The sequence below is a fragment of the Homo sapiens genome, chromosome 1 (assembly GCF_000001405.40).
Source record: "Homo sapiens chromosome 1, GRCh38.p14 Primary Assembly".
NCBI lineage: Eukaryota > Metazoa > Chordata > Mammalia > Primates > Hominidae > Homo > Homo sapiens.
In genome coordinates, this window is record NC_000001.11 from 167,764,837 (window position 1) to 167,786,751 (window position 21,915).

The 21,915-nt window shown below is 39.6% G+C and overlaps 1 protein-coding gene across 4 annotated transcripts in view, besides 2 other annotated features; it reads left to right on the top strand.

The window, feature by feature from the left end:
- Window positions 1–21,915, top strand: part of MPZL1 (myelin protein zero like 1) — a 69,938-nt gene that overhangs the window by 42,855 nt on the left and 5,168 nt on the right. For 2 of the 4 annotated variants that reach the window (XM_047433610.1, NM_003953.6), the window contains 4 exons: window positions 747–913; window positions 7,439–7,652; window positions 8,400–8,532; window positions 11,228–11,330. In XM_047433610.1, coding sequence (XP_047289566.1) covers window positions 7,553–7,652; window positions 8,400–8,532; window positions 11,228–11,330 — 336 coding nt within the window. In that variant the 5' untranslated portion in view covers window positions 747–913; window positions 7,439–7,552. The remainder of the gene's footprint in view (window positions 1–746; window positions 914–7,438; window positions 7,653–8,399; window positions 8,533–11,227; window positions 11,331–21,915) is intronic. The other 2 variants (NM_024569.5, NM_001146191.2) reach the window with 2 other exon arrangements.
- Window positions 5,164–5,735: an enhancer, noted in NCBI's record as "OCT4-NANOG hESC enhancer chr1:167739237-167739808 (GRCh37/hg19 assembly coordinates)". NCBI's record gives its function as "activates a minimal SCP1, AML or CMV promoter by ChIP-STARR-seq in naive H9 embryonic stem cells {active_cell/tissue: H9 hESC(naive)}" and the evidence as "EXISTENCE:reporter gene assay evidence [ECO:0000049][PMID:30033119]".
- Window positions 6,670–7,171: an enhancer, noted in NCBI's record as "H3K4me1 hESC enhancer chr1:167740743-167741244 (GRCh37/hg19 assembly coordinates)". NCBI's record gives its function as "activates a minimal SCP1, AML or CMV promoter by ChIP-STARR-seq in primed H9 embryonic stem cells {active_cell/tissue: H9 hESC(primed)}" and the evidence as "EXISTENCE:reporter gene assay evidence [ECO:0000049][PMID:30033119]".

Here is a 21,915-nt window from a genome sequence, read left to right on the forward strand (position 1 = left end):
GACACGGAAGAAAGTTAAGTGCATATTACTAAGTGAAAGAAGGCAACCTTAAAAGGCTACATGCTGTATAATTTTAACTAGATAACATTCTAGAAAAGGCAAACCTATAGAGACAGTATAAGGTCAGTGTTTGCCAGGGGTGTGGGGGGAAGGACGGCAGGAATAAATTGGTGTAGCACAGGGGATGCTTAGGGAGTGAAACTATTCTGTATGATACTGTAATGGTGGAGACGTCACTATTCACCTTTGTCAAAATCCATAAGATCTACAACACTAACACAAATCCTAATGTAAACTATGGACTGTGGTTAACAATGATGTAACCATATTGGCTCATCAATTAAAACAAACGTATAACACTAATGCCAGATGTTAATAATAGGAGAAACAGGTTGGCCATGGGAGAGTGAGGGAATATGAGAATTCTACCTTCTATTCAATGTTTCTGTAAACCTGAAACTGCTCTTTAAAAAGTCTATTAGTTTAAAAAAAAAATTCAATATAACCAGACTAATAAAAATATCTTAACTAAAAAGCAATACAAACCTAAACTGTCAGCAATTATTCTGTTTATAGTGCTATTCTGATTGAACTTAGCTGTAGAATATTCTGCCAGAAATATGTAATGGCAGTGAATTACTGTATATATCTAGTAACTTTGCTGTATCTTTTCTTGTCTGGCAAAAATGCACAGTGGTATTCATGTTAAGTCCTACTTTCAACTACCCTTATTCCTTTCTCTTCAGTGACAGCTGGAGTATCAGCCTTGGAAGTATATACGCCAAAAGAAATCTTCGTGGCAAATGGTACACAAGGGAAGCTGACCTGCAAGTTCAAGTCTACTAGTACGACTGGCGGGTTGACCTCAGTCTCCTGGAGCTTCCAGCCAGAGGGGGCCGACACTACTGTGTCGGTAAGAATGCTTGACTTCTCTTGGCTAGTCCTGCCTCACAGGTTTCTTTACTGCTGTATAATTGGTGATCCATTTTTCTGATGGTTCATTTCCAAAATGAGTGTATTTTTTATCTGTTATAGACTTCAAGGCCCTTCTTTTGCTTCAGGATAAAATAAGTTCAGCATCTCTTAAATGCGTCTGGTTTCCTTGTCTTTGATCAGTTCCTCTCCACCATCAAATCCCATTCTGAAATTGATCTTAATTGACCACACTGACTCTAATCAGGATTTATCCTGCATCTTTTCATCTTTTATTGCCCCATATTTATTGATATTTGTTTTATGTATTATCAAATTTTATATATATATGTATGCATCTTCTGATTTGATTATCTTTTTTTAATTTAGCGTATAGTCCATCTGATTTAGCAATATTGATTTGGGAGCTTACTATGTAGTGGGTTATGTAGGGCCTTCAAAAATGTCTAAAACAGAATCCTTGCTCTCACCTAGAGATGATTAGGAGGAAGGCTGATATATAGATGACTTTGGAGTAAGATAAAGGATGTAACAGAAATACAGCACCAGAGCATTGAAAAAAGGTTATTTAGTAACTAGTGGAGTGCTGGTTATTAAACATGAACTGACTATCTTGGTTCTGGTCTGTAAAATGGAGACGATAAAACCTCCCACACAAGGGTGTTAGGAGGATAAAGTAAGATTATTCAAGATAAGTGCTCAGGAGAGTGTCTAGCTCTTGAGTTACTAAAATACACCATTTGTTGTTACTGTTGCTCTCCCAGCATGTGGAATGCCCTTCATATATTGGCACATATTTTAGTACTGTTGCATGTTTCAGGTTGTCAGTGTTTAGCAAGGACAGTCTGTCATCTATCTTTAAGAATGCCCAATTCTTCTTCTGAATGGTGAGTTACATTGTTGATCACCACCTAGATGTTGGGCCCATCATATGCCTATGCCATTTAATCTTCACAGCTCTATGAGGAAGACAGGGTGGGGAGGATGGGAGACACTGACTCAAGAGTTATTCACCTGTGGCCATACCACACAGGTTAGAATTGTTTAAACTTCAATACGGTATGATTTCCCTTATGTATTATTTCTCTCTCAGGTAGAAAAATCTGCTAATAATATTTACGGCCTCATAGGTTTTAGGGATTACCTAAGGCAGTGCTTCTCAGTATTTTTTAAAATTTATTTTTAAAAGGAGCCTTTTCACATTTTTCTTAATCTCTGCCCCCTTCCATGAAATTTTAATATTGTAGATATCCTCTGCAACTGTTTTACATATAAAAGAGAAAGATTTTCTCAAAGCTTCCCACCCAAGAGCCAGTGTTTGCTCCCTTGGGGGAGAATCTCCCCTATGGAGAATGCATAGTCTAGAGGTCTTTATAAGAGAGGCCTTCCCTTACAGTAGCCATAAGGGTGAGCACAGGAATCCATACAGATACCATGGAAAGACATAAAGAGGCATTCTCTGCTTCACGTAAATATGGCATCAGCATAGAACATACACTAATGTTCCCATAGAGGCAAGATTAAACACATAAGTTTACTCAAGAGAGTCCAAAGAACTATTTAAACATTTAAAGATTTCCCACTGAAGTCTTCTGCAAGAGTGGGTGTGAGAGCCACCCAGAGGTAATAACTTTCTTTTAAAGAGCGGTTCCATTTATGCTGGAAACAGTCTTGTCGTGTAGGTCCATGAAGGTTTACATAACTCAAAACTTAATATTAAGAACATGCTGTAATTCTGATTAATATTTTTAGCTAATCAATTTATACTTACACACGAGTCTGATTGCAGTTAATCCCAGCATGTTCAGTTATTGACATAGGATCCTTTAATTCCAAAATGTCGGGACACATTTAATAAGATGAGTGGGTTGCTTTTTTGTTTTTATAGGTTTTACAGGAAAAGTATATTCAAACCCAGTATATTCAAAAGCCATACTGTGGATGGCTTTTTTGGCCCATGGCCTTGGGATCCACATGTCTGAAACTGAACTCATTTTTTCTCCCTTCTGTTTCCCTTTTCTGCTTTTTTTTTTTTTTTTTTTTTTTAGGTTAATTGTGTTCATCTGCAGATGAGTTTTGTAATCATTTTGTTTTGTTTTGTTTTGTTTTGTTTTGTTTTGTTTTGTGTTTTCTGTCCTTTCCTTCCCTGTCCCTTACCACTTCCCTTCTGCCCCCAAGAAATAAGAACCTTTGCTGGTTCTTCCTACTTTGTTTCTGGTGTCTAGCTTTTTGTCAGCCTTCCTGTGTCTCTGCTGTCTATTGAGCAATGTTAACTGTGTGCCTGGTCTTGTGCAGTAGCCCCTTGTTATTCTTCTGCTTCTGTTTTTCTCATCTTTCAATCCAACCCTCATATGCCAGCAGGTGCATAGTCTTAGAACAGCTCTTTCACCTTGCCACTGCAGGTTATCAGGAACCTAGATTCCCATTGTGGACAACATTTGTCTAGAATTAAAAGCTCATTACAATTTGGCCCAGCCTACCACTTTAGCCTCACTTCTGTTCTCTTATGGCATCACTTCCAGTTTAGTAAAAATGCTTTGTGCTTTGTTTTCCTACTTCTGAACACTTGTCATTTAAGCTGTACCCCATTTTTACCCTCTGTCTCCTCCATAATGCCTCTTTTTTTTTTTTTAACCTTTTAGCCCTTAAAACTCACTACCCTTATCTGGGCCATTCCTATAATACAGATCCCTTAATATGACAGTTTTCCTCTTCTTCCTGAATATGGGTGTTTTAAGAGGACTTGCCTGTCTTACATCTTTAGTATACCTCATAGCTTTAGCACCATGGCTTGTACTTTAAAAATATTGATTGATAATGATTCTAGTCTTTTCTGTGAATTTTTCACTGTTTTATTTCCATCTCTCACTGGTTTGACCAAGACGTTATTCCTCAGTTTGATTCAGCAAACTATGTAGTTCCTGCTGTGTCCAAAGTGCTAAGGAGTACAGAGATAAATACATCTTATCCTCTGCCTTCAAATGGCCCCCATTCAATGAGGGAGCCTGACTGAGGGAGCTGTCTCAGACCCAGTGCTGAGAAACAGCATCATGTAGCTCATCCCCGCTGGTTCAGAAATGCAAGGCAGGGAATATGTGGAGATGTTGTGGGAAGGGAAGGCAGAGAGCAGGTGATGGAAGGATTCATTTGCAAAGCTGAGAGTTTATGGTTCATTTTCTAGTGAAGAAGAGAGAGTGAAGAACTTTGAACAGATAAGACATGATCTCACCTGAGAGGCCTTAAACATTGGAAATAGCATAAGCTTTGAAATCAGAGCTGAGTTTGAATTCCATCTCTAAAACCTGTGACTTTGGGAAAGTCACCAAGGTTTCCTGAGCCTCACATTCCCTATTTATGAAATATCAGGTAGGCGAATCTCACCTTGCAGGGTGGTTGTGAGGGCTAGAGAGTTGTTGGGAGACAGTTTTCTATGGGTCTTTCACGTTTTTGCACACCTTGCTAGCAAAGGCACTGGCTGCCTTTGTTCTGGACTTTTTTTATACAGTAACTAGCTTTGGAAGGCAGAGATGATGTTACCCTCTGGAGCAAAGGACAAATTTGTGTATTCTTGAGTATAGTAAAGGTAGTGTCTCCTTTCAGGGCTGAAGTCAGACATGTCTTCTGCCCCTTGTAAGAGAATAGTGTTCCCTGAGCTTGGGGTTCCTCGGCTGTGATGCAACGCCTCTGCCTGCACAACATCCATGTGAGCCCCTCCATGTCATGGCTATGGGACTTGCGGGGCAAGAGAAACAAACACATGCTTTCTGCTCATAAGGTTCTTTGTTTCTGAGTCTTCTTCATGGGAGTGAAGATTTCACAGGAGTCCGTGTCTTCTGTCAGCACCTATGAACCTGTGGCCAACTAACTTTGTTAGCTTGTAAGTAGGGTAAAATCTCAGACCCTTCACGGTTCTTAACAAGCATTTAGGTCATATGAAATGCAGGGTAAATATTTGATAAATGTTATAATAATAACCATTATTCTTTATCAGTGATCATTTAGGCATTGTGGAAGATGATGAGTTAGACATACCAGTTAAGAGGCCATAGTCCAAGATGATGAAAACATAAAAACAGATATTGTCAGTGGGAACCGAATAGAGAGAAGAGAGAACTGAGAGAAACTAATGAGACATTGACAATATTGGGGGATTAACTGGATAGGAAGAAAGAGAATCAAGGATGACTTCAAGATTTATGGTTTTGGAAAGAAACAGTAGCCATCAGTGAAGACACGATACATGAAGAGGGGAAGATGAAGTTTGTAAGAGAGGGTGACAAGCTTGGGGGAGAGGGGCAGCCAGGTGGTAAAGTGAGTAGGCAAGGAGTCTAGAGCTTAGGGGACGCTATTGATGGAGAGAGAGGTTTGGGAGTTAAGAAAATCTAGATGATCATTAAATCATAGGAATGGATGAGTCTGCACTGGGGTTTTCACCGTGCTCAAAGGGTTCTGAAAATGTTCTGTTTGAATTGCTAATAGAGCTGGTTTCTATCCCCAGCTCCACCATCACCCCGTCCATTAACCAGAACAAAGACATCAGGCCTCCAGCATAGCTGCTTGGATTAGAGCCAAGTGTGAGGATAGATCCCCTCCCACTGGGCCTTAACCCTGCTTCCAGGTGCTGAGTTTGACAAGGTTTACTTTGAGAAGACAGTTCCTTTGCTGAAAGCAGGACTGAGGAGAGACTGAGGAGTGGAAAGAGAAAGGGGCTAAAGGCTGAACTTTCAAAAGCCGGCAAGAGTATCTTGTGTTATCTGGGCTTTGTTCCTTTCACACACCCATGACTTTTCCATAGGAAACCAGAAGGAAGAGGGCGAAACTCAGATTAGCTGATCTGAGATATTTAGGATTCTTCTCCTTTGTGCTTCTGTGTATCTTAGTGGTAAGCTAACTCAACACTAAGCTTTCTGAAGCCTTGGGAATCACTGGGCTCAATCATGGTGTTACTGGAAGAACATTGGCTTTGAAGACTCAGATGGGCCTAAATTTTACTCTGGGTCCCCAATTTACTATCATTGGTACCTTGGGAAAATGGCTTCTCTTAAGTCTCCATTTTGTCTTTTATAAAATTATGGGTGGTAATAATTATATCAATGAAATATTGAGAGGATTAGAGGTGATATATGAGTCTGATTCTTCCATTGAAACCTGGCAGGGTTGAGTGCCGTGATCTCTAAACTTCTGTCTGGCTTAGATTCCATAACTTGTGATTTGTAATATGATGTTGCATTTCTTTTTTTTTTTTTTTTTAATTGATCATTCTTGGGTGTTTCTCGGAGAGGGGGATGTGGCAGGGTCATAGGATAATAGTGGAGAGAAGGTCAACACGTGAACAAAGGTCTCTGGTTTTCCTAGGCAGAGGTCCCTGCGGCCTTCCGCAGTGTTTGTGTCCCTGGGTACTTGAGATTAGGGAGTGGTGATGACTCTTAACGAGTATGCTGCCTTCAAGCATCTGTTTAACAAAGCACATCTTGCACCGCCCTTAATCCATTTCACCCTGAGTTGACACAGCACATGTTTCAGAGAGCATGGGGTTGGGGGTAAGGTTTATAGATTAACAGCATCCCAAGGCAGAAGAATTTTTCTTAGTACAGAACAAAATGGAGTCTCCTATGTCTACTTCTTTCTACACAGACACAGTAACAATCTGATCTCTCTTTCTTTTCCCCACATTTCCCCCTTTTCTTTTTGACAAAACCGCCATCGTCATCATGGCCCGTTCTCAATGGTCGCTGTCTCTTCGGAGCTGTTGGGTACACGTGCAGAAAGGCTGTCACTTCACACTTGGAAGATTGCACAGCGGCCAGGCAGAGGCGCTCCTCACTTCCCAGACGGGGTGGTGGCCGGGCAGAGGCGCTCCTCACTTCCCAGACAGGGTGGCCGGGCAGAGGGGCTCCTCACATCCCAGAGGATGGGCGGCCAGGCAGAGACGCTCCTCACTTCCTAGATGGGGTGGCAGCTGGGCAGAGGCTGTAATCTTAGTACTTTGGGAGACCAAGGCAGGTGGCTGGGAGGTGGAGGTTGCAGCGAGCCGAGATCACACCACTGCACTCCAGCCTGGGCAGCATTGAGCATTGAGTGAGCAAGACTCCATCTGCAAACCCAGCACCTTGGGAGGCTGAGGCAGGCAGAACACTCCAGGTCAGGAGCTGGAGGCCAGCCCGGTCAACACGGCAAAACCCCTCTCCACCAAAAATACAAAAACCAGTCAGGCGTGGCCGCACGTGCCTGCAATCCCAGGCAGTCGGCAGCCCGAGGCAGGAGAATCACAGGAGCCCGAGGCAGGGAGGTTGCAGCGAGCCAAGATCACGGCAGTACAGTCCAGCCTCAGCAACAGAGGGAGACCGAAAAAAGGAGGAGAGAGAGGGGGAGAGGGAGAGGGAGAGAGATGTTGCATTTCTTTCCGTATGAAGTCTTTAAAAGAACCTTTCATAGCATGCACATTACAGAGTTTAGGAATTCTGCCTTTGAGAATAGTTCATGTGTTCCTTTTTTCTAATTGCAGTTTTTCCACTACTCCCAAGGGCAAGTGTACCTTGGGAATTATCCACCATTTAAAGACAGAATCAGCTGGGCTGGAGACCTTGACAAGAAAGATGCATCAATCAACATAGAAAATATGCAGTTTATACACAATGGCACCTATATCTGTGATGTCAAAAACCCTCCTGACATCGTTGTCCAGCCTGGACACATTAGGCTCTATGTCGTAGAAAAAGGTACTTCCTTGAGTATTTTGGCAGTAATAATGCAGTCTCCTTTATCTCATGTTTGGTTGGAAAACATGAGTTGCATTTCATGGTGGGTTTGGAGGGAGGATTTTTGCCATACAGTTGTGCTCCCTGTTGCCACGAACCTGTGGCTCTACCAAACACACTTGGAGCTGGGAAACTTGTTGCTCATTCTGACCCAGAGTGGCTGATTTCTCCATTTTTATTCCTACCGTCTGGTGCCTATTGGTCTAATTTCAGGAGTATGAATTTTTCAGTGTTAATTAGAAGAAAGACCAAATTCATTATGTTTGGATGTGATGGGCAGTGGGAAAGAAGGAGATTCATACTGTTTTATATTCTCCAGGAGAAAGCTTTCAACAACAGCACAGTTATTTCTTCCTTTTGATTTTGAGAACAAACAGGAAATGCAGGTTCTGGTGTCTCATTTTTGAGACAAAGTCTGTTTTGTTGGAGAGTAGATCCAGGTAAATTCACACCTCCGGTTTTTCTTTAGAGCACTGAGAGGGATTGTAGGTGTAGAAATGCTTAGTTCCATAGTTCATTCTTTCTCATCTAATATTCACATGTCATGAATTACATAGTAATAGGATAGATAGTAGGATCTCATAGTTTGGATAATAAAAGAGGGTACGGTAACTGCTAAATGAAGATACTTGCTCGTTAATTTAATAAAATTCCATGTTTTCTCTCTGTAGCAATGTACCTTAAAACTATTTTGTTCTTTCTCTCTAGAGAATTTGCCTGTGTTTCCAGTTTGGGTAGTGGTGGGCATAGTTACTGCTGTGGTCCTAGGTCTCACTCTGCTCATCAGCATGATTCTGGCTGTCCTCTATAGAAGGAAAAACTCTAAACGGGATTACACTGGGTAAGAAACACTGTTTTTTTAGGGCAGGGGTGGAGGGAGGGAATCAGGGTTTATAGAAACTTCTGTATTTAATGAAAAAAGGATTTTAAAGAATTAACTACTATTTTCTTTCATGTCAGAATCAGGCAGTCTCCTTAGGAGGTGTTCTAACATGGGCAAGTGGAAATCAGTGGGCCTGCTATTAAATGTGGAATATGATTCTAATCTCTGTTCCAGTTTCCTTCTTAGGTTTGGTGAGATGAGCTGCTCAGCAGTCTGTGCTCTGTGTTTCAATACCATCCACTATGCAATTAGTATTCTTAAGACATCACTTACCCAATTTAAGAGTTTAATTTCAATTTCTTGCTAATAAACTCACAAGGTGGTTCTTTCCAGTTAGGAAATATAAAACCCTAATTAAGAAGTTGTGAGCTGGAATTAGTGGCATGTGCCTGTAAGTCCCAGCTACTTAGGCTGTGGCAGGAGGATTGCTTGAGCCGAGGCGTTTGAATCTAGCCTAGGCAACATAGCAAGATCCTGTCTCTTTAAAAAAAAAAAAAAAGAAAGAAAGAAAGAAGAAGAAAAAGCAGTGGTTTTAATAAACTACCTCCCCCAGCCCAGTGTGATGATGGTGCAGGGCTTTTCCTTTTTGTAGTTCCCCTACCCCACTCCAAGCTTAAGTAGCTTTATTGCTTTGATCATTCTTAGCTAGATTCACCCAAAATGGGATAATAAGAATTGATGACAAAATATATCAGCAATAAAGAAAAATAGACTTTCTTTTTGTTTATGGCTTCTCAGATGGAACACGTTTAAGCATAGGGTGTGTATCTAATTAAAGGACCTTCTCTTTTCCCCACTCCAGCTGGAAAGCTAACCCATATAAGCTATGTAGAACTCATGTGGTAAGACTGGGAGCAGAGGCTGGATTCAAGTTGATATAGCATGAGCAGTGTTGCAGATGCACAGATCTAACTTTAGCCATCCTGAAGGGACTCTGATGTGAAAGGATTGCATGTCCTGAACTCTCTTGCTGGTGGATGGTGGGAACCTCTATCTATGGGCTCTGCTGATCTAGAGTTTTTAGGAGTGCTGTGTTTTAACAAGTTTGAGTGTTCAAATTCAGATATTACTTGCTTGGAATGCTTCTATTCTGCTGACTGTATCTGCCCCCCTTGCATGGTGAGTGTTTTATGATTAAATATAGTTGGACTATTGGTTTCAACATGAGACTAATCCAGGGTGGTGACATGCCGGTCTTTGTAGTTCTTGCTTCGGGGTTAATGAGGGGCAGGAAAGAGTTCCTTAGACTCCTGCATGGCATCATGAATGCTGCTGTTCTTCTTACCTTGGTTTTTTTCCTCCTCCTCTACCTTTTCTACCTTGGTGTGCTGGGATCAGATCCTGCTTATCTTCCACTTCTTAAGAAAAGCTGACATAGAAGACACATTGGGACTATAACAGGGCTGGGTCTCCTCTTCCACTCCCACTAGACACATGGTAACTAATCACATTGCCCATTACTGTTAATATTCCTGTGTATGTATTCAGCCCCTCTCCCTTGTTGATGACTAACCAGCTAGCTCTGAGCTAACCCAACAGCTATTATGATTTGTCCATGAATATGTCACATGTTTGTATTGGAAACATGTTGAGCATACTATCTGGATGAAATTGGATTGTGAAGTTACATAGAGTTTTTATGCACATCTGAATATTTGTGCTCTTCATGTAAAATGCCATTGTGTATGTGTGTGTGTGCATTAGTTTTCTTTTTTCATATATGTATTATGTTATCAATATTTAAGATCCTGACTGATTATGTATTAGAATAATTAAACCATTTTGGTTCAGAGCATGTAGCCTCCCATTTCACAGAAGGAACAGTTTGCAGAATGCATGGTATGCTTTGGTCTTAGTAATGACACTTTAAATGTGATTCTCCCCAAACTCCTAAGTTTTAAAAGTATATATCAAAAGGCTTTAAGCTGTACTGATGACACATCTCATTGGAAAATCCCTACGCTGTACCCCAGCTTTCTTACTTCCTGGCATTCACTTTCCCTGATTCATTTATGAGATAGTGCTTGTTGTTAAAGACTACTGTCACCGTGAAAAGGTTCAGCCTGTGTGACCTGGCATTCCCTAATTTCTCATTCATGACTTCCTGAGTTTTTGGGGGGATTTGATTGTGGTATTGGTAGGGAATAAAAATATGGAGAGAACAAGATAAGCCAAGACTTGCCTGGATATATATCTGTAATTTAAAACATACATTCAGAAGAGGTTTGCCTTTGATTATAACAAAAGTGAATTGCCATTAAGCTAATAAAAGGTACCATAGAGCTTGTTCCCTTAAACCTTTATCCCAAAGGAGGGTTGATGGCAGGGGGAAAAGACAAACAGCAAAAGGATAAATGTGTATTGTAACTAGAATTCCAATATGATTTTTGTAAACTGGGTTGAAGAGGTTGTACCATATTTGTTTCTGTGCCTCCCCCAGTGATGAGTTCATTGACTTAGAAGAATGAGTGAGTGTCAGGTATAGAAAATAGTTTAAAAACATGTGATCATTTTGACACCCATTGTTATGTTGTCTTTTGTTTTTATATATCTGTTGCTTCATCTTGCCGTCAGTTGCATTTCTATATTTTTGTTTCTATTTATTTATTATTATTATTTTTTACATTTGTTCTTCAAATTGCCAATTCATCAGCTGCAGTACATCAGAGAGTTTGTCACCAGTTAAGCAGGCTCCTCGGAAGTCCCCCTCCGACACTGAGGGTCTTGTAAAGAGTCTGCCTTCTGGATCTCACCAGGTAATGGCTGATTGCGATTCTGCCCACTGCACTGTTCCCTACAGCTTGGTGCTCTGTCACTTCCTTGGGTGTGGAAAAGAATACTGAGCTATGAGAGACAGAGACAGAGACAGACAGACAGAGACAAAGAGAGAGTGGGAGTGAGGAATTAAAGGGCTGGCCTAGGAAGACCACAGGAAAATATGTGGTGAAGAATCTGCTTGAGTAAAGATTTCCATGAAACCACCAATAACATAAATTGTTTACTAACCATGTAGCTTCCTTGCCTCAAGCAGAATTAGGAAATGGCTTTGTCAGTAAAAGATTCTTTAATTGCCCAAGGAAATGAATCTAATGAAGGAGATTCTTTCTGTATTGAGGTACTCTAAGATAAGAAATTAGCAAGGAAAAGTTGGTATTCTTAGTATTGATAATAAAACCAAAATTATTTTCTGTGGATTCTTTAGAAAAAATGGAAAGTAAGCATTTATCTGAATAATTAATAGGCTTGATGAACAAGGAATGGTTTTGGTTTCTACTTGTAGAAAGTACAGAAGAGAAACAGGTTTTATTTGGAAGTTAGCATATAATCTAGCTTTGTGTGTTTTGGCTGTAGTATTTTAATTATAACTGTGGCTTGGCAAAAATTCCATAGCTTAGTTCAGTTTGATTTTTCTGGGGTAGAAAGCATGCTAAAGAATTTGGCCAGTTATAGCTTTGTCCTAAAAAGGTGTTAGCTGGTGGGAATGGATTTAAGAGGAAATAAAGAGAGTAACAGTGTTTTGTGGGAAAAGTACCCATAGTCTTATTCCATAGTTGTTATATGTGGTGAGGAAACTAAGGCATTGTGATGTTAAATTACTAAAAGCACACACCCAGTTAGTGACAGAACTGGGGCTAGAACCCAGGTGTCTAGATAGCATGTTCTCTACCACAGCATCAGGCTCATTACTTGTTCCTGTTCTATCTGTCTGTCTCTCTCTCACATTACATAATATATGTCAGATACCTCAGTCTACTAATTTGGGTTGTGAACAGGAATATGGTTGTAAATGAAGACATGAAAGTTACATACACATAGGCATAGCATCTAAAAAAGCATTGGAACATTTTTATTCCGCCCTTGAAGCACTATGGAAGTTGCTTTTTTGCTGAAAACAAACCAGAAAAAAGAAAAAGAAACTGTGGTTTTCAAGACAGTGGAACACAAATTATGCAGCACTGTCATCCCCAAAAGAAAGGAAACAGACAATGTGAGCCGTGTTATTGCCCCAGTGTACTGCCTTGAAGCAGTTTCCACACTGCAGTGTAGGTGGGGAAAATGGAAACTGGGCCCAGCTGTCTCACTCAATTGAGAAGGCGGAAATCAGAATTTGGGGAGGTCAAGGAGGCTAAGATTTATGAGGCTGAGTACCAAAGAAGGAACCATAGAGAGAGCGTGCTAGGATGAGCACGAGCACTTCAGAGATTTGGAGCGGGGTCCCCTTGAGTCTTTGTCTGATTACAGAGTTGTATACACATAGGAGAACACTCTCTGAAACCAGGGGAAGAACTACCTGAAATGCAGTAGGTTGCACAATGCCTGGTGCTCACACAGGTGAGGGACTAGTTTGTGTTCCTAAGAGCCAGAGTAGAGAGACTTATAATACACAGGGTATTGGTTGGGGTTCTCAAAATGGTCATACCTAAATGGGTTAAATTAGTACCAGAATAAAGGATGCTATGGACCCACCATAACAAAGCTTAAAAGGAAGCCTTTAAAGAATCAAACTAATCCAAAAGTAATTTAGTTGCATTTTACAACAAAATCCAACACGCTTTATGCTACAACAAAATTCATCACCCAACAATGTACAATTTACAATGTCTGGCACCAATCAAAAACTACCAGGCATGGCCTGGTGCGGTGGCTCACGCCTGTAATCCCAGCACTTAGGGAGGCCAAGGCGGGTGGATCACGAGGTCAGGAGTTCGAGACCAACTTGACCAACATGGTGAAACCCTATCTCTACTAAAAATACAAAAATTAGCCAGGTGTGGTGGTGCACACCTGTAATCCCAGCTACTCAGGAGGCTGAGGCAGGAGAATCACTTGAACCTGGGAGGCAGAGGTTGCAGTAAGCCGAGATCACACCACTGGCACTCCAGCCTGGGTGACAGAGTGAGACTCCATCTCAAAAAAAAAAAAACAACTATCAGGCATAAAAAGAAACCAAAAAATAAAACACATAAGCCAGATATAGTGGTGTGTACCTGTAGTCCCAGCTACTTGAAAGCCTAAGTGGGAGGATTGCTTGAGCCCAAGAGTGTAAGACCAGCCTGGGCAATATAGTGAGACCCTATCTCAAATAAATAGATGGGTGGAAAGAAGGAAGGAAGGATGGATGGATGGATGGATGGATGGATGGATGGATGGATGGATAGATTTAAAAAAATAATAATTTAATAATTAATTACAATAAAAAATCAGGAGAAATCAATCAGAAACAAATTCAGAATGGATGGAAATGATGGGATTCATAAACAAAGACCTTAAAATGAGTATTATCAATCTTATTAGTAAACTTAAAGATGTAAAGGAAAGCTTGAACCCAATGAGGAAAGAAATAGATATCTAAAACAGACCAAAATGGAACTTCTGGAAATAAAAAAAAATTGGATGGTGTTAACAACAGATTAGATACTGCAAAAAAAAAAGGTCAATCAACTTGAAGACATAGCAATAGAAACTATCCAAAATGAAGCTCAAAGAGAAAGACAGATGGCGGGGTGAAAGTGAACAGAGCCTAACACGGTGAAAACCCATCTCTACTAAAAATACAAAAAATTAGTTGGGCATGGTGGCACGTGCCTGTAGTCCCAGTTACTCAGGAGGCTGAGGCAAGAAAATCACTTGAACCTGGGAGGCAGAGGTTGCAGTGAGCTGAGATCATGCCACTGTACTCCAGCCTGGGCAACAGAGCGAGACTCTGTCTCAAAAAAGAAAAAAAGAAAAAAAAGAAAGTGAACAGAGCTTCAGTGAGCCACCGGACAATATCAAGCAATCTAATTAGAATCCGAGAAGAAAAAGGGAGAGAAAAAAATATGTAAAGAAATAGTGAAATTTTTAGTAAATTTAATGAAAAACATAAACACACAGAAAGCAATAGCGAAAATTGCTGGGCGCAGTGACTCAACGCCTGTAATCCTAGCACTTTGGGAGGCTGAGGTGGGTGGATCACCTGAGGTCAGGAGTTCGAAACCAGCCTGGCCAACGTGGCAAAACCCCATCTCTCCTAAAAATACAAAGATTAGTTGGGCATGGTGGCAGGCGCCTGTAATCCCAGCTACTTGGGAGGCCAAGACAGGAGAATTGCTTAAACCACAGAAGCGGACATTGCAGTGAGCCAAGATCGCGCCACTGCACTCCAGCCTGGGCAACAGAGTGAGACTCCATCTCAAAAAAAAAAAAATTGACTCTTTACAGCAAAAATAATGACAGCATTTTATGAGGCTATAACATGTGGAAGTAAAATGTATGACAACAGTAGTACAAAGGATGGGGTGGAAGGATGGAAGAATACTGTTGTAAGGTCCTTATATTATCCATGAAATTATAATTTGAAGGTAGACTGTGGTAAGTTAAAGATATATGCTGCAAATTCTAGAGCAAACACTGAAAAAAATAAAAGAGATAGATACAGCTAACAAGCTCTATCTCCGAATGGCAATACTGATAAGAACAAAATTCTGACATATGCTACAACATGGAAAATGGTAAATGCGGATGGTAATAATATCAACGTTGGCATCAGAACAAGAAATAGAACCAGAGATAGAGGGACTTTTTATGATGATAAAGCGATCTACTTACAAAGAAGACATAATCCTAAATGTTTATACTTGTAATAGTAGAGCTTGAAAATAAGTAAAACTGAGAGAATTGGAAGGAAAAATTGACGTATTTACAATCATAGTTGGAGGTTTCAACAAGAAACTTTAATGTAATCATTTCAAAATACTCAGTTAATCCAAAAGTGAGCAGGAAAGGAGGGGAAAATGAGCAAAGGGTAGATGGGGCAAATAGAACACAAATAATGAAGTGGTAGATTTAAACTCAACCAGACTGATGATTGTATTACTATAAATGGGCTGAGTGTGCCAATAAAAGGTGGAGATGGACAAATTGGATAGAAAAGCAAGAACCAATCATATGCTGTCTGCAATAAACCACTTTAAATAAAAAGATCCAGGTAGGTTAAAAATATTAATACAAGGATGAAATTGAAAGCAGAGTCTTGAAGAGATATTTGTACATCCATGTTCATAGCAGTATTATTCACAAGAGCCAAAATACAGAAGCAACCCAAGAGTCCATCAGTATACAAGTGGATAAATAGAATGTGGTATATATATACACAATGGAATATTATTCTGTCTTTAAAAGGAAAGAAATTCTGACACATGCTACAACATGGATGAATCTTGAAGATATGCCAAGTGAAATAAGCCAGCCACAGAAAGACATACTATGTGATTCTACTAATATCCCATACCCTACAGTGGTCCAGTTCATAGAGACAGAAAGTAGAGTGGTAGTTGTTGGGGAAGGAAGAATAGGGAGTTGTTTAATTGGTACAGTTTCAGTTTTTGCAGGATGAAAATATCGTAGAGATTGGTTGCACAAGGATGTAAATGCACTTAACACTACTAAGCTGTACACTTTAAAATGGTAAAGATGCTAATTTTTATGTTATATATATTTTACCACATTTTTTAAACAGTAAAAGGATGGAAATGATATGCTACATTAACACTAATCAAGAGAAATCTGGGTGGTAATAATATCAGAATAGGCTTCAGAACAAGAAATAGAACCAGGGATAAAGACAGACTTTTTATGATGACAAAGTGATCTACTCATGAAGAAGACATAATCCTAAATATTTATACTTCTAATAATAGAGCTTGAAAGTAAGTGAAGTAAAACTAAGAGAATTGAAAGGAGAAATTGACATATTCACAATCATAGTTGGAGGTTTCAACACTCCTTTCTCAGCAGTTGGTAGAACAGGTTTACAGAAAATCAAAAAAGATGCGGAAGACTTAACAGTGAAACCAGTTTGAGCTAATAGACATTTATAAAACACTCCTTCCATCAAGCGCAGAATTCTTACTCTTTTTAAGTACACATGAAAATTAACCAAATATAGACCATATTCTGGTTCATAAAACAATTCTCATTAAATTTAAAAGGGTTGGAATCATATAGAGTACGTTCTCTGGCCACAATGGAATTAAACAGAAATCAACAGAAAGATACCTGGAAAGTCTCAAATATTTCAAAATTGAACAACCCATGAGTAAAACAAGAAGTCACAAGAAAAATTAGAAAATATTTTGAACTGAGTGAAAATAACATATCAAAATTTGTGAGATATAGCTAAAGAAGTGCTTTGAAGATTTGTAGCATTAACTGTTTATATTAGAAAAAAATAAAGCTCTAAAATTGATGATCTAGGCTTCTGTCTGAAGAAACTAGAAAAAGAAGAGCAAATTAAACCCAACATAAACAGATAGAATTAATAAAGAGAAGAGCTGTGGAAAAATCAGCTGACATTCTCATTGTTTCCCTGTAGGTAATCTGTCGCTTCTCTCTGGCTGCTTTTCGGATCTTCTTTATGCCTTTGGTGTTTGGCATTTTATATACTATTTAATTATAGATTATCCCTTGTTGCATCTGCTTGTAATTTCATTGGACCTCCTGAGTCTTAAGGTTGATGTCTTTAATAAATTCTAAAAAATTTCTAGTCACAATCTCTTTGAATTTTTCCTTTCTGCATTTTATCTATTTATCTTTTTATGGAACTCTGATTATATGTGTATTATACTTTCTCTATGCTCTAAGTCTCTTAACCTCTCTTGCAGATCTTTCATTGTATTGTCTTTCTGCCATTTTCTGCATAATTTCTTCATCTGCCTTCATTCACTAATTCCTTAGCTGTGACTAGTCTACTGTTTAGCCCCTTTTAAAAGTTTTTAAACTTCAATTTCATATTACAGGTTTATTTTCTAGAAATTTTATTTGGTTCTTTTTTAAATATACCTGGTTAATTTTGATAGTTCCTTATAACTTCATATTTTCAACTATCTTATTTAAGCATGTTAAATATTCTTATTTTATACCTCAAAACTGATAATTCCAGTGTCTGTAGTCTTTATTGATCTGACTACGGTTTTTGTTTCTATATTTCTTGCTAATGGTGGCTATTTTCTCATCTCATGGGTGTTTTATAATTTGAAGACTGTACTTACGTTCTTGGCACTTTGTACAAATTGATTGAGTCTTCATTTAAAATATATTTACTCATGAGAAGATTTGTATTTCTTCTGCCTGTGTCTTGGATACTACCAACCCAGTGAGAAGAAATGCACAGGAGGTAAAAAAATTTTGAGAACTTGAATGGTAGACTATAATGGCCCCACAAAGAGGTCCACATTCTAATCTCTGGATTCTTTAGGATATGTTACCTTACGTATCAAAAAGGACTTGGCAGATGTGATTAAATTGCCTTGAGATAGGGAGATTGTCTTGGGTTATCTGGGTGGCTCCATTGTAACCATAAAGGTCCTTAGAAGAGGGAGGCAGAAGGGTAAGCATCGGGGAGAGACTGGAAGATGCTATACTGCTGACTTTAAAGATGAAGAACTCATAGCCAAGAAATACAGGCAGCTTCCAGAAGCTGGAAAAAGCAAGGAGACAGATTCTCTCCTAGAACCTGTGGAAGGCACGCAGTCCTATTGACACCTTGATCTTAGCACAGTGAAACACATTTCAGACTTCTGACCTGTAAAACTGTGAGATAATTAATATGTTTTTAACACCTTTAAAATTGTCTTTATTCTCCTCCCTCAAACTTGATTGCGAATCTGGTGGGGTAGGATTCCCAGTTGGAAATCATTTTCCTTCAGCATTTTGAGTCATTGCTGATTGTTCTGGCTTCCAGCATTGTGGCTTAGAAGCTGATGCCATTCTGATTCACTCTTAGGGCAGAGGAAGGTAGGGTCATCTACCTGAGCAAAGGGAGAGTAAAGACCAGAACCAAACTGGGGCTCTTCCAGCCAAGTGGAGTGGGAGGCTGGGTTGGGAAGGTGTTAGATAGGCACTACCTAGAGTTTAGAGTGTTAAGGCACTGTGGAAAAAAATAAGAAAATTTTTTTTCTTTGTGAAGCTTAGTTTTGAATGAGATTGGTATAAAGTAATTTTTGTATATGTATTTGAGGAGTAGTTGGTTTTCTAGATCCTTTTCTGGATATCGTTGATGCTCTGTATGCAAAAGGTAGGTTTTTGGGTTATGTTGTTAAACAGTGATTGAATGGAATATTTATGTATTTGTCAACTATAGTGCATAGCATAGACAGGGTAATGTTTCAAGAAGTAGTTATGTGCGTTTTTCCTTTAGTCCTCACAACAGTCCTCCAGGGTAAGTTCTTCTGTTGTCTCTATTTTACACATGAAGAAACTGAGGCTTAGTTAGGCAAGTCACTTGCTCAAGGTCAGTAGTTAGTGGCTGAGCCAGATCTGTCTGGTTCTAAGGCACATGTATATTTTATCCTGTCCAATTTTTTTCACCTCTGCTTTGATAATCAGTATTTGTCTCATTTATCTCAAAGAAAGTCATAATACATAGCTGTGTTTCATATTTATATTTTACTTAAAAAACAGTGGAATAAATACTAAAAAAAAAGGTGTTCTGTCAGTAGTCAATGAGCACATGGTAAAAATAGATGTTCTTTCTTAGTGATTCGTGCTAGGCTTTTGGGGATGACTCCTCTAACACCTGAAGGACTAGAATCAAATTAAATAGGGCTACAGGCTACAGAGACTGTGAAAGGTGTACTACAGGACACAACATAATGACTCCTGAGCAGTTAATTTGTAGTTAGAAGCAGGTCTCTTTGCTTTTCTAGAATCCTTTCTTCCTGGACCTTCTCCCCCAACCTTCACCAGTTATGGTTTTTTTATTGGAATAAATAATTAATTTTGGTACAAGTAAACTTCAGAGGTAATTTTATCTCTAGTTGTAACTAAAATAATAGGCCTATATTAAGCAATGTGTTTCTTGAAACATTTTCAATAGCTAAGGCCTATTCATGCAGAAAGTAGCTGAAAACATACTCAGACCAATTTTTCACTTTATTGTTGTAATTCTTTGTGTAAAAGCAAAGATAAATAAATAAATGAAATGGAGGGTGGGGAGGGTGAGTACCAAGAGATAGAGTAAAACAGCTAGGTTAATGTAGGTTTTGTTGTTGTTTTCCTTCTTTATTATACCCAAAAGTGAATGTCTTAACAATGGTAGGTTCATTTCAAAGTTGATCGTGGTTCTGTGGATCCTCTTGAAGTCCTGAGCAGCCTCATTTGCCCTCAAAATCGAGGTGCTGAGGCATGTTCCATAGAGACTCAGGGCTCCTTCCACCTCTAAATAGCACTCAGAATCAAACTTCATAGAGGTGTTCTAGATTGAGCTAGATCTGTCAGCAGACCCCAATCTCAACCTACATCTGCAGTTTCTCTGCATCCTTTCTTTCATCCATCCCTTCATCCAGCACCTGTGTTCTGCCAAGTTCTAGGAAGTTAACAAAGTCCCTGACTTAAGACCTTATTATATTCTAAGGGGGAAGAGGAATGAGGATAACATCAGGCAGTGGTAAACAGTTTGAAGAATACCAAGTCCATCAGCAGGAAGGGATTTCTTCAGTGTTTTCCCATTTACTTTCATGAGATAGTTGTATTCTTTTGACATGAAAGACAGTACTGTCTCACATGAAAGACCTCATTGATATTTTAACATTTACAGACTAAAAGATAATTCTGTGTTCTTTTTCCTCTTTACTTTCTCTGTTCTCATTCTTTTCTACTCACATAATATATCAATTATCTACTGCTACGTAACAAACCCCCCAAAATATAGTGGCTTAAAACACGCACTATTTATTTGGCTCCCCATTCTGTGGATTGGTCGAGCAGATTCTGGTCTGGATGAGCTCAGCTGATCTCTGCTGGCTCACTTGTGCATCTGCAGTTGGCTAGAAGGTTGACTGGTAGCTGGACAGTCTACAGTGGTCTCACTTACAGTCTAACCATTGGCAGGCTGTTGGCCAGGCAGACAGAGGACAGCTGGGCCATGCATCTCTCATCAGCCATCAGGCTGACTTTGGCTTCTTCACATGGTAGTGGTGGCTGTGTGGGTCCCAAGATCAGTGAGAGTGGAAGTGGCAAGGTCTGTTGAGGTCTGGGTGTGGAAACTGCACAGCATCACTGCTGCCTCATTCTGTTAGTCAGAGCTGATCACAAGATCAGCCCAGATTCAAGGGGTAGAGAAACAGATTTCTACTCTTGATTGGAAGGACCTACAGCATTATGTTGCAAAGAGTAAGATGCAGAGAAGGAAAGAGTTTGTAGCCATTTGTGCAGTCAGTCACACATTGTAAACCCCTTCTCCCATGAACATACCCTAAAACTCTTAGTGAGTTTTTAGGAATTATGATATGGGGTTTTATTATCTAAGAATTTATATAATTTAATGTTGGGAGTTCCGTCCTATTCTTGGAAATAGCTGTTACCAGGGAACAGTTAGTTTAATTCTGTTCCTAGTAGAAAACAGTCTTTTTTTTGTTTTTTTGAGACGGAGTCTCGCTTTGTCACCCGGGCTGAAGTGCAGTGGCGCTATCTTGGCTCACTGTAAGCTCCGCCTCCTGGGTTCACACCATTCTCCTGCCTCAGCCTCCTGAGTAGCTGGGACTCCAGGCGCCCACCACCATGCCCGGCGAATTTTTTTGTATTTTTAGTAGAGACGGGGTTTCACCGTGTTAGCAAGGATGGTCTCGATCTCCTGACCTCATGATCCGCCCGCCTCGGCCTCCCAAAGTGCTGGGATTACAGGCGTGAGCCACCACACCCGGCCGAAAACAGTCTTTTTAACTTCCTTTTGTTTTTTGGTGGGGTTAGCATTTAACTTGTAGCTTTCTGAGATGAATATAGAGGGTCTGTATGATTATTAACCATGTGATCTGTTAATATTTCCTATGACAGCCATTATAGACTAAAGATAAACACACAGAGTTTGACTATTTAATTTACTTGACCAGTTACCTCAGTGCATTTTAAAGTATGTTTGTGTAACAAGACGTTCATAATAATAACTAACATGTATTAAGTACTGTCTGTGAGACACTGCCTAAGTTATAGGTATCATCTTATTTAATTTTCATAACAACAAAAAACAAAAATGTAGATATTATTAGTAGTACCATTTTAGAGATGAAGAAACTTGTGCTTAGAAATTTACAAATGTGCCCAGGGCCACGTGACCAGTGCTCTTCTCTAAGGTTCAACAAAGACGATATCATAATTCAGACTGCAGATCTGCCAACATTCAAATGGCTCTAGTCCTCGAGTGTTATTTTCTAACTCCGCTTTTAGATGCACCATTGTATAGCCCTTACAACTGGGCCTGTCCCTTCTGTAGATGTGGGAGTAGCTGAACTCCACAGAACCCCAGGTTACACACTAAGGACACAGGTTGTTAGGGCTCCTGGATGAGGGTAAGTGTGTTTATTTTAA